The following is a 13,207-nucleotide window of genomic DNA, read 5'->3' as shown; positions in this document are numbered from 1 at the left end:
GTCATCAGAGAAACTGATCTCCTCATTGGGGAAGAGACCAGTGACATGCTTCATGAGTAAAATTACAGCTTGATATTCACCAGTAGAACTTAGCAAGATGCTCAGCAGAGAAAATAATGAATCATCTTTTGCTAAGCCTGTGAGAAGGATAGAAAATATTATACGGGAGGTCCCAGGAGTAGAGTGAAAATCATGTGGGCTTTGAAATCAAGCAGACTTTAGTTTGAATCGTGCACTCCTTCGTGTGAGCTGGTGGACTTTGGTCAAGTTTGAGTCTCTTTGAATCTCAACTTCTCCATTTTAAAAATACAGATGGTGATAATTGGATTCTCAGGATTGTCGTGCCCAAGAAGCAGCCTAGTGTCAGGTGGCAAGCAGGGATTCTGGAGCCACATTGCCAAGTTCAGATTCCTGCTCTGACATTTACTAGCTGAGTCATCTGCAGCAAATTACTTAGCCTTTCTATGTTCATGTCCTTATGTTTAAAATAGGGAAAGTTGCCATGAGGAATAGTTAATCTATGTAACGTTCTAAGATCACTGTGAAGCACATAAGAGCTGCATGTGTTCTTGTGGCAATACCAGGTGGCATTGAGCAGAGATGCCCCACCTGTGGTACTCCCCACCTCCATCTTGCTCTCTTACTCTCCCTGTTCTTTTCTTGATCATTTTTATGTTTCCTGATCATTTTTTAAATGTGAAACCAGCCCTATTGTTGTGATTTTCCTAAAGGATTGTGCAGACCCTGTCTAGTGTATATCCACCCTCAGAGCAGAAGTTAGCATGACTTTCATGGAAAGCCAGGAAGGGAGCTCTCGAGGAAAAAGATGAGTGTTGTTATTCAGAACTGGGGTTAAGGTTTCATTTCCTTTTTGTTATGAAAATATGTTCTGCAATTGAAAACAAAAGTGCAAAGCGTTCTGAAAACTAAAAGTAATATACATGTTTCTTGAGTAAGGAGTGAATGAACTATTTAGAGGCATATAATACACTTCACTTATTCGAAGCATTAAATATTCCAGTTACTCATTCATTCAAACTTTCTTACGTAGCAGTTGTACATGGTTCTATGCCAGATTCTGGGGATAGAAATAGGAACAGGACAGTCCTTATCCCCCAAAACTCCAATCAAATTGTCTATGAATGAAATTGGTGATCAAGCAGTTGAACAAAGAGCCTCTCATGACTGAAGATCTAAAATGCCAACAGAGAGCACAGAGACAAGGAGAGGCCAGTGGCCCTTTTGTTAGGATGAGTGTGGCAGCTTAGCTGAGGCAGAGCTTACAAAAGGTAGGGGAAAGGGAAGACTGGATTTATATAAACACCGTGTTACTCTGAATTTTTTACGCATAAAAGAAAAGGTATTGTTGACAGTCACAGAACTGCATAACCATAGTAGATAAGGGATACTGAACGTACACAGTGGAAGGACTTTAATGAATGTGTCGCCTGCTCATTTGCATGTTCACCCACCTCGACCCGCTGCAGTGGCCAGCGTTGTCCCCAGTGTACAGATGTGGGAACTGGAGCTCAAAGGGAATGAGGCAGTAGCCCTCACCATGAGCACCTCTGAGGTAGGACCCAGGTTCCGCAGGTAGTCTGTGTCACACTGAACTGTCCCACATGCCAGCCTGCCGTGACCATGATCTGAAGGTGGCTGGTCATGGTGATTTTTGCTGCATGAGAATTCTGGAAGCTGTCAGTGGCGTGCTGTCAGGACTGCCTTTTTCCTTCCAGATCCTTGGACATCTTTTCTTCTCTTTCCTGCGAGCATCTTATCAGTTACTGAGAAAGGCCTTTCTGTACTGTGTATTCATTTTCTTGGGAAGTGTTCATTATAAGTGTAGATTTTTTACAGAGCCTAAAAAATTTCCTGGCTAGGGCACTAAATCTAATTAGCATGCAAAGCTGTGTATGATCTCATGTTATCATTCCTTCAAGCCAGAACACAGTGAACCCACCATCAAAGCAAGTGCTTTCTTAAAGGTAAACTATGCCATTTGTCCAGATTTATTCCCTCTCCATGCAAATCTATGGTTTTTATGTGACTAAAGATAATCTGTTGTCTACGCCAAAGAAAACGTCCTCTTCATTTCCCTCCTGAAATCCCCATCCATGTCATAAGCCTCCTCAGAGGGTGGCAGCACCCACCTGTCTCCTGAGACAGAGAAAATGTTGCTTTTAAGCCTCACTACAATTTGAGGGTTGTCACTTGTAATTACTTTATATTTCTATTTTAAGCATTGTTGACATGCTCTGGTAAATCATTTTGTTTTTCTAGATATAGCTGAGGGATCTTAGAAGTAAGTAATGTGCAGCTGCGCTTCCTGATAGAAGAGGAAAGACGTTCTAGATATGGCAGAGAGGGGGATGCCTCCTTAGTGAGTCAGGGTTGGGTGCCTCCCAGTGGCCTTTACTATTCTTTGATCCACATCCGCCAGGTTGTGAAGCAGCTACCTGGAGGTCTGGACTGACAGGGGAGTGCTTTGGACTATTGTACCTTGAAAAAAATTGTCTGTGTATAGCCATTGGTGAAATGATGATTGTATAGTCCATTGGTTTTATGTAAATTACAAATTAATGTTAACCTCTACCTCTAAAACTCTTGCTCCCTGGAAATCATTCAGCACGAAGCTAAGGTGATGCTAGCTTACTAACACGATTTCAAATCCAAGGCACCTGGGGTGGAGTAAGCAGAAAGGCTTAGGAAGCAGAATTCAAGTCCTGCCACTTCCCAGGTGTGTGATCTGAGGCAAATTGATTTACATCTCTGAGCATCAGTTTGCTCATCTGTGAAACCAGAGGAATGAGGCCCCCCTCTCAGGATGTTTTGTAGAGTGAATGCAGTATCTTCCAAATGGAGAAGATGAGTTCAATCCTTTGAAAGTACATGTTTGGCCATTTGCCCAGGACTGGTCACAAGACTGAAGCCATGGAACTTCTTCCTAGAGATCCAAATTATTAGGTTTGGCATTCTATTCTAATGGCCCTTTAGCAATGCCATGTCAAATGCTCAAAGTGACAATTTCTAAAGGGAACTGAGAAATTCATAGGTGTTATGCTAGGAGATAAAAGGCCTCACATGACCAAATGTTTGTGAAATGCTAGGTTTAAGAAGGTGAACAGATTTAACTTGTAGATGTTAATATGTTTGTAGATAAGAGATGGAGTTTCTCAAAACATTACATCATAGAATCCTTTCCTTTATCTCATACTCCCTTTCTTTCTTCTGCCCCACCCAACACATCGTGGAACCTGTGTAACCCAGAGCTTACTCTGAAAAACACTGATCTAAGGAATTCCAAAGTTAGTGTTCTCAGCTCTTGACACCTGTGCTAGCAGAAAGGCACATTGTCGTAGATAATGCAAATACCAAACACTATATAAAAAGCAAATCTGTGACTTCTGAATATACCTTATAGTAAGTGAAGGTGATTGATTCGAGCACTAGGCTTTTATTCTACATGTTTTTTATTTAGCTGAAATTTCAGAAATCAATTTATTCTTTTAGAGCCAATCTGGATAAGAAGTGATGGAATTTATCCAAAGAATGTAATACATAATTGGAAACAAACTTGGAATTTCATTTACATTATTTAGGCATATTTCATAAAATGCAGAGCTGAGAGCCGATGCTATCTCCTTCATGAACCTTCTCTAGATTTCCCAGCTATAAGTTATCTTTTCCTTCTCCAGACCAGTTATCACACTATCTGTGCCTCTCTTGTGCATTTATAACTTTCCTAACTATATAAATCTTCCTTTATAACTGTCGCTGTTAATGCAAGAGCTAATTGTGTGCATGGCTTGTCTCCCCTGCTGATGAAGAAACTCTTGTTGTAGAGTCCCCCAGTGCCTAGCAGAGAGCCTGCACATGCTAGACACTCAAATGTTTGACTTGGTGAGAGTTTCTTTTATTTCCCTAAGATTGTTAATTTGTCATTATTATTGTTACTAATAGTTGTCAATTAACTAATATTTCATGAACATCTATGTGCTAGGCAATTTGCATTGATTACTATACTCAATATTCACAACAGAACTCTGAAGTAGATACATGTCCCCTCCAAAAAGAAACTGAGGCTTTAAGAATTTATAAGTATCTTGCCCAGTATCAGAACTAATATTCTAAACTACAATTGTATCTTGCCCAAGCCTGTGCTTTAAATCACTAAATTACCCTCTTAAGGGCTAAAGAATATACAAATACCTGCAACCCAAAAGGGCAGCCTCAGAGGAGCTTTGGTAGTTCCCTATTCTCCTTAAGTCCCACTGTAGAAATAATCACCCCTAGGAATGAAAGACTTGAATACTACTACTCACTTGCTTTCTCACATACAGTGTGAGTGTAGAAGGCTCTCCTTGGCCTATTCTATCTAAGGTTGCTTTCACCAGATTTGCCCCAGTGTGACTGTAAGCCCTTGTTAAGCTTGGGTTAATTGCCAATTTAGGCAAGGTTCTCATTTAGAAAGTCCCTTCAGGGAAAGCAGCCTCAGAACTAGGAGATGGTTGTCTATTTACTCTTCACTCACCCAGCTGCTAATGGGGTTAGGGGAATGGCAACAACATATGCCACTCCAGATTCTTCCCGTTTACAAAGTCTTGATCATTTCCACACCCAAAATCCTGTCAATTGCCACCTGTGGAGTCAGGCAATAAAACCAACCAGTATTTATTGAGCACACGTCACATGTAAGGATAAGGTGTGTGTTATGAATTCATTCATACTGGTTTGCTTTTGCCAGGAGCATACAGTGTTGTGAAGAATAAAACAGGAAATTTGTTTTCTTATTGTGGGTCAGATGCCACTCCACGCATGCCTCCGGCCAGCCACTTGGCCCCTCTGCCTCCCAGATCCCTGAGCAGTGAAAGCAGGAGGGTGGGCTTTTGCAATTCCTGCTCTCTCCTTGTCGGCCTGGCTTTCTGAGAGTGGGGCACCCCCCGCCATCCCAGGGAAAGGGTTGATCTGCACTTTGAACATGGGAACCCTTGTCTATATGTGGCATGGTCCAGAGCCACAGCAATGCTTCCCATGTATTCTGTTCACCACTTCATCTCTGAGAATATTTTAAAAATGTAGTTCTTGGTTAAGTGAGCTGAATCAAAACATATCCAAGTTGGAATAGGATCTACTCTGTGTAGACTTGCTGGAAGTGAAACACACAGAGCCTGCGGGAAGAGTTGTTCTATGAGTACTTGAGCCCCCAGCCTGACTAGGTTAAGTCTTCTATGAGTACATGAACCCCTAGCCTGACTAGGTTAAGTCTTCTATGAGTACATGAACCCCTAGCCTGACTAGGTTAAGTCTTCTATGAGTACTTGAGCCCCCAGCCTGACTAGGTTAAGTCTTCTATGAGTACTTGAGCCCCCAGCCTGACTAGGTTAAGTCTTGGAGCAGATCTTAGACTCTGTCTTCGGTAAGTGGCCAAGTCTTTGGCCTTTGTATGCTGTGGCTAGGAGATAAAAAAAAAAAAACTCATTTCTTAAATGTGTTAAAATACAGTTATGTCCATAGTACTTTAGGGGTTAGTCTCTATTTGTATTAGCTTAAACAATTTTGCAGGTAAATACATGTTCATTTTTTTTTTAATTAGCAATGTCTATAGCTTTGTTTTTAAGAGACAAGGTCTTGCTCTGTCACCCAGGCTGGAGTGCAGTTGTACGATTATAGCTCACTGCAGCCTGGAACTCCCTGGCTCAAACAATCCTCCCACCTCAGCCTCCCGAGTACTTAGGACTACAGGCATGCACCACCATGCCCAGCTAATCTTTGATGTTTAAATCAATTGAATTTTTTGAAAATTGACGTCACTGAACAAAATAGACAAAAAAATCTCTCTCATGGACCTTACATTCTAGGTAGCCATTGATGACAACTAAAATAGAGAAATAGGATTTTCCCATCCAAGAACACAGTATCCAAAATGAAGAAACTGTAATAAAGGCCCTCTTAGCTCATGCATCAGGAGTTGGCAGCTGATTAGTTAATTAAAAAGTTGATGACAGTGGTTATGGTTAATCATAATATGATATATGCATACCTTAAATATTTTATTTTAACTTAAAACATACAAATGCATGTTAAATCACCAACTTTTTAATGTGAGACTCAAGCTTTTTCTTAAATTTGCAGATTGGAGTTTCTAATTACCATTCTTAGATAAACCATGCCAAAAAGACATCATCTGTGATTTCCAGTTTCAGTTTTCTTAAAGTGGAACAAGCTCTGAAGACACTTTTGAAGTTATCTAAGTACAATCTCTTCCAGTTTTCTGTGGTTGACCCACCCACATGTGGTTCAACAGCAGGTTTGGCTTGGTTTCAGCAACTTGTTTTTATCCAGTCTTTCAAAGCATTCAACTTGGAGCTTTTTCTACTCATATTTCATCAGTGTATATAATATGCAATCAAATTACATAATTACAATGACAACTATAACTGGAAGAAACACATTTGGAGACAAAGATCCCTAAATCTCACATCTCAGCTGGTGGGAGCAGAAACCCAGGGGCATTCCAGCATCTTGACTGTGAGCTTGGAGTGTCAGCCTGGGCAGCAGTCAGTATATTTTAGAAAAAGGATGGAGGATGTTTCATAAACTGGCAAGTCTGTTATGGTGGCCGTCTTTTAAGAGGACTCCTACTGTACTCCTGGATGCGACCATAAGCAGACATTATTTGCAGCTTCTAGAATAGTGTTTCTCAGCCTGAGTTCTGTGGCACCTGGCAGTTCCATGAGTGGCCTCAGGGGCCACTAGAGAGTGTTAGCAGCAAGTCTGAATCCCTCCAGCTTCCTTCAGCTGTAGGAGCTCCACTTTTGTTTTATACCTCTCACTGTTGCATTTAATTTTATTCAAATAAAAAGACTGAGCAAACCATTATTATTTTTAAACAACGGGTATTGTGGTGCTTTTAGGGAGGAAATCTTAGACTATTAGCAGTAGCATACACTATTGTCAATAGAGGACATCTGATAACAGTCTGAAATCCTTTAAAGAGACAAGGGATTTTAAATGTCTGGTTTACACTTGATTTTCTTCCATTACATGTTTCTGAATAAGCACTGTGTTCATTGCTTAGGGCTGCTGTAACAAAGTACTACCAATGAGGAGCCTTCAGACAACAGGAAATTATGGTCTCATAGTTTTGGAGGCTATGAGAAAGTTATGGTCTCCTAGTTTTGGAGCATGGCTCACAGGGCCTTGCTCTGTCTGAAATCTGCAGGGGAATCTCTCCTTGCCTTTCACAGGTTTCTGTTGAATTGCTGGCCATCCTTGGCATTTCCTCGCTTGCAGCTGCATCACTTCAGTCTCTGCCTTTGTTGTCACGTGGCGTTCTCCCTGTGTGACTGTCTTCATATTGCCATCTTCTTATAAGGACGCCAGTTATACTGGACTAGGGGCCAACTCTGCTCCAGTATGACTGCATCGTAACTAATTACATCTGCAATGGCACTGTTTCCAAATAGTGTCACATTCTGAGGTACTGGTGTGAGGACTTCAGCATATCTTTTGGGGGGAGCAAAATTAAAACCATAACCGGTGCTAAAGATTTGTTGAATATAGTTCTTTCCCCTGCCCCTAGAGACTGCCAAAAATAAAACAAAGCCTCCCAACATTTAAAATGCCAGTGATGTCCCTGTGCCCGAATAAAACTGAAGTAGATCCCTGGGAGAACCCCCTAATTGAGGTGAAGCAGTGTGGCCCAAAAAAGAAACTACAATAAAAGGAAATACCATATTTTCAGTGCTTACTCTATACTTAATCCTGTGTTAAGCACATTCTTTTTTTAATGTATCTTCCCCAAAATCCTAACAGATATCTTTAGCTTTTCATATGCTTTCATTTGTAAGCAACAGAAAACCAAACATTAATGGTCTTTAAGAAGAAAATGGGCCAGATTCGGTGGCTTACACCTATAATCTCAACACTTTCGGAAGCCAAGAAGGAAAAATGGCTTGAGGCCAGGAGTTTGAGACCATCCCAGGTAACATAGACCCCATCTCTACAAAAAATACAAAAATTAGCCAGGCATGATGGTGCACACCTGTAGTCCCAGCTCCTTGGAAGACTGAGGCAGGAGGATCACTTCAGACTGGGAGGTGGAGGCTGCAGTGAGCCATGATTGCACCATGGCACTCCAGTCTGGGCAACAGAGCGAGACCCCCATCTCTAAAAAATAAAACTAAAAAATCGAGAGAAGAAAATGTGTTGGCTCTTTAACTAGAAGCCAGACTAAGGTAGAATTCAGGGCCAGCGTAATCCAGGGGTGGTAGCCCATTTCCCCATGATTCCCTGGGCTCTTCCCTCCTCTGTGTGGCAGCTTTATTGCTCAGTGGCTAGTAAGGGGGTGGCAGTAGTGAGGGACATTTGCACACCACATCATCCCATGGAAGAGACAGGGGTCTCTTCAGAATGTGATCCCAGAAGGATGGAAAATAATTACAGAAACACTGAATCCACCCTCTGCTTGGTCCTTGGCTTGAATTTGTGCCCACTTCTATTTCTGAACCAAATACTGTCACAGTAAAAGGAGTTGCACTCAGACCAATCAGGGCTACCTCTGGAGGTGGGTGGGGTGGTCAGCATTCACTCAGGTGCTAGGGCTGCCTGGAGGGTGAGTGGACACCTGAATAAAACAGGGTCCTCTTAGGAAGGAGGAGGGGGCAATCTTAGGTAAGCAACCAACAGTATGCACTGCAGCAGGCCCAGGGTACAGATGAAATCACTCAGATTTAGGGAGTCGCTCACTTCTTTCCAAAATCACACAGCTTGTAAGTGTTAGATGAACATTCAAGACCAAATGGCTTTGACTTTTTCTTGTCTAGCATACCACCACCTATTCTCTTACTGGAGGGGCCAGCCATTTTCCTAGGCTTTTTGGAGTAGTAGTGTAGTCTTAGCTTATTAGAAATGGCCTTCAAAACCCTCAGCTGTGCACCTTATAGTAAGAGCATTAAGAGCCTCAAAATGTGTGTGCCCCTTTGAATGAAAAACGCTGTTGTGGTGTCATTGAGTGTTGAGAGAGAATTCTGGGGGTGCCTGTGCTGGGAGAATGCCCCACCTGAATAGACAGCCTCAGTAGAACCACTCACTAAATGGTTTGCCTCCTTTTGTGCCTTAATGCACTTTGATCAAGATATCAGATAGGTTGCATCATCAGATAAGGATGGCAACAAAAAACAGAGCTGCTCTCCTCAACTTTGCAATTAGGCCAGTAGAGTACTAGTATTTTTTTTTAGAAGGGACAAGGCTGTTTTAGTCCTTTACGTGTGGCTGATAAAGATATATGCAAGACTGGGCAATTTACAAAAGAAAGAGGTTTAATGGACTCACAGTTCCACATGGCTGGGGAGGCCTCACCATCATGGCAGAAGGTGAAAGGCACATCTCACACAGCAGCAGATGAGAAGAGTAAGAGCCAAGCAAAAGGGGTTTCCCCTTATAAAACCATCTGATCTCGTGAGACTTATTCACTGGCGCGAGAACAGTATGTGGGGAACCGCCCCCATGATTCAATTATCTCCCACTGGGTCCCTTCCACAGCACGAGGGAATTATGGGAGCTACAATTCGAGATGGGGTTTGGGTGAGGACACAGCCAAACCATATCAAAGGCAATACCCAAACAGCCTCTCAGGAAAAACTTGCAGTGGTGGAGACCACGGTGGTCCTGATAATATTGTTCACAGTAATAGCAAATCTCCCAGATGGAAGAAAAATTTTCCTGTGTCCCTGGCATCTCACTCAAGTGATGAGAAATGAAGAACAAGCTTCCTCGGCTTAGACCTTGGGGACAACCTGGGTCATTGGCTGTAACCTGGAGTTGAACTCCTTCTGTGCATTTTTCTTTAGAATTTCTCTGGCCCTTAGCTATTTAAAGCTTTCTCTAGTGTCACCAGAGGAGGATTACAAAATCCAAGAGTTTTTCAAGGACATTTTGTTTAGTGAGCATCTGACTTCTTGTCAAGGAGAAAAAAACTATTTTGCCCATTATTAACCTTCATGCTAATTGTTTCTTTTTTCATCTCCTAATCATCAAAAGCGCATGTTTGCATTTCCATTTCAATTATTTGCATCCAAAGCAGAAACAGTCCCAATGTTATTAACTTTTATAATGCCCAAAAGTACACAGCTGTGAGCCCTTACCTAGCCATGCCTGAGGGTTCCCATTTCCCTGGGAAGGCACTCTCAGCAGGTTTGGTCTCCGAGCTATGTGCCGGGAGAGGGGACTAGAGTGTGGATGCTGCGAAGCCCAGCGCTCTTCCCTCCGTGCAGAGCTGCCAAAGCAAAGGCAGATGTTGTCAGCCCTTGCCTCACTTTCCCAGATCCACTACCCAGGCTGCTGTCTTGCCTGAGCCTTTTAAGAAAGCGTTGCAGCAGCCTCTCTCATTGTCTTGGTTGTGGGAAGGGCTGAGTTAAATTGGCCAGGCATGTGACTTGTCATCCGCGTTGCCCTAGTTCGCCACAGTCCGTTTCTTGCTATCATGGCCCAATCTCTGCAAGAACTTACTCTCCCTTGCAAATTCCCTCCAAACCTGTGACTTACCCTCAACCCAGCCCTCTTGGCTTCATTCCCAGAGGGGTCTCTCCAACCCCAGAAGCCACCCAAAGCTGCTGGGATCCTGCTGGGAGAGCCTGTATCAGCACATTTCAGACCTTTCCATACCAAACCCTTTTTCAAAACAAAACAAAAAAGGCTTAGCGGAAACTCAGTAAATAATTGCTGTACAGCAGAGCTGTTGTCATTCAGATGGGACGGGCAACTTGAAGTCCTGCCCCTTGATACTCCGAGGTGAGCCCTGCCTCTTTTGAACATTGAAGATCACAGACCTGAAGTCACAAGCCTGCAGCCATGAAGCCTCAGGCCCGCTGCCTTTCTGGCAGGTGCCTCAGTGCTACCTGCCTCTGCATTCTCCTCTCCAACTTCTGCCTGCTCTGCCAGATTCCCCAAAACTCCCTGAGTTGTCATGTGTCTGGAAGAATCCCACTGGGTTGCCCTTCATCCCACAGAGACGGAGCCTCTTAGCAGGAAAGCGTTGCACACATCCTATTGCCCTGGTCCTAGACTTCTGTCCTCCCAGCACCCCACACCTGTCACTCTAGGGCATCCAAGTGCAGAGAGTATTTCACACAGAGCATTTAAAGTGCTTCTTATGCAATTGTGATTTCACAGCTCACTTCTCACCTTAGAGGCTTAGCAGGAACTACTATTCGTCTTCCCATACCAAGTTCCAAGATAAGAGTGCAGATGTAAGCCCTTGAGGATCTTCAACTAGAAAATGACCTGGACTTTTTAGATAAAGCGACTAGTTCTTCCTGTCTGGGGCACCTTGGACCAAATGGATTAATATCCTTAAAAATGCCATTATACACTCTGTTCCTGTATTGTTTTAGCTACATTGTGAAGAGTCCTATCTAAGCAAGCTTGGGATACAGTGATTCCTCGCCTGCAGCCTGGAGTCTCATAGTCTTCTCAAAGCACGGGTGAGTGACATAAAGATACTGTCTAGCCCCACGTGCTCTGAGCTGCTTTGAGCAGAAGTTAACTGGGCCAAAAGGACACCTCGTTGTCCCTCTATCATGGCAGTGCGGGATTGTGATTGAGAATGGGACAGAAGTGATAGCTTCACAACTTTTCAGAGTCAGTCTCTACACGATCTCTGAGCCCTGGCTGCAGCACCAGCCCTGGGAAGGCATCCGCCCACTGTCTCTGCAGCACCCCAGAGGATCTCAGACATGGAGAGCAAGCATTTCCCACTCATCTGTTGCCTGAACAAACATCTAGGGAGCTCTTGCTGTCCCGGGCACTGAGCTTGGACACTCAGTGATGAATGGAGCACACAGAGGGTATTGCCAGCCTGACAGAGCAGGCTGAAGAGGTACAAGGAGCCCGCATCTTGGAAACATCCAAGAGTCTAATGGATATTAGAGGCACAGAGAGAAGAATGAAATCAGATCTCATCTTTGCTCTGTGTCTGTCTCCTCTCTGATCCTCTCAGCCTGCTTTTTCTTCAGTTACAGAAGCATAAGACTCCATAGAACCTTCCAGCTTTGTTTCACTTCGTTCACTTAGTTTGTTTCACTTACTTTGCACTGTATTCTCACTGTTGCCCTTGCCCCCACAAGAGTAAGCCACAGTCAATCCTTTTCTGAAGTACAAAGACTTGCATTTAGCAGGGTCTGAATTCAGGAGATTTTTTCATCCATGCATTTCAAGATTCTTAATTAGAAGTAGATGGACTCCTAAATCTAACACACTTTTTTTCTCCATTCATGAAACTGGAAGTGACAGAAGGGTATTCAGCACATTGTTTTCTTTTATCACGTATCGCCCAGTCCTGAATTGATTTTCATTTGTCTCCCAGTTAATCAGGGAACTCCTTGAGAGAGAGAAAACACAGAAAACTAATACTTCTTATGAAGGAAACTGAGCCATGTACCATGAGGGAACCCTTCCCTATGTGTGGACAGGATCCATGTCTTATTGAACGGTGTCTAGTAGTGCCTTGGTTGCCTCTTTCCACAGCTATACTAAGTGTTCTGTGCATGAATGAATGAATGAATGAATGAATGAAGTTAACTCTCCAAAGAGCAGATCATCTTACACCTCAGCATGTGTTTTAGTATATTGAATCTTTAGTCTTGTGTATAGTATCTGGTTACCTGAAACAATGTATTATGCAGAGCTTTCTGATTTTCTTACATATCCTTAAAGAGAGAAAGATATACACAAAAGTTCCTAGAACATAAAATTTGCTCAATTAGTGTTTAACACACACAGATGGTTATTAAGAGAAGTCTGTAGCTAGGGAATACCATTCTCCCTTTCGTGGAGGATGTATCTCCCTCCACGTGTGCCCAAGGTTACGCAGCTCAAGCATTGGATTTGTGTTCAGGTTGCATGTATTCAGGACATGCACTCCACCATGTGCTGGGTGTGCCACTGGGAGCTGGCCACGTGCTTATAATTTAATCCTACAGCAACTCTGCAGAGTCTATATTAGTGTGGTGATTGGGGAGATGATGAAACTGAGGTCTGTTTTTTTGAGACGGAGTCTCGCTGTGTTGCCAAGCTGGAGTGCAGTGATGCAATCTCGGCTCACTGCAACCTCCGCCTCCCGGGTTCAAGAGATTCTCACGCCTCAACCTCCCCAGTAGCTGGGATTACAGGCACACACCACCACCCCCAGCTAATTTTTTGTACTTTT

The 13,207-nt window shown here is 43.2% G+C and overlaps 1 protein-coding gene across 15 annotated transcripts in view, besides 1 other annotated feature; it reads left to right on the top strand.

Annotated features, from left to right (window-relative positions):
* ELMO1 (engulfment and cell motility 1) overlaps positions 1 to 13,207 on the top strand; it is a 596,421-nt gene that overhangs the window by 504,682 nt on the left and 78,532 nt on the right. The gene's annotated exons all lie outside the window — the stretch shown is intronic.
* Positions 1,545 to 1,614: an enhancer, noted in NCBI's record as "active region_25845". NCBI's record gives its function as "activates an Ori minimal core promoter by ATAC-STARR-seq in GM12878 lymphoblastoid cells {active_cell/tissue: GM12878}" and the evidence as "EXISTENCE:reporter gene assay evidence [ECO:0000049][PMID:35858748]".

This window comes from Homo sapiens, chromosome 7, assembly GCF_000001405.40.
Source record: "Homo sapiens chromosome 7, GRCh38.p14 Primary Assembly".
NCBI classification, from domain to species: Eukaryota; Metazoa; Chordata; class Mammalia; order Primates; family Hominidae; genus Homo; species Homo sapiens.
This window is presented reverse-complemented; position numbering and strand designations above follow the sequence as displayed.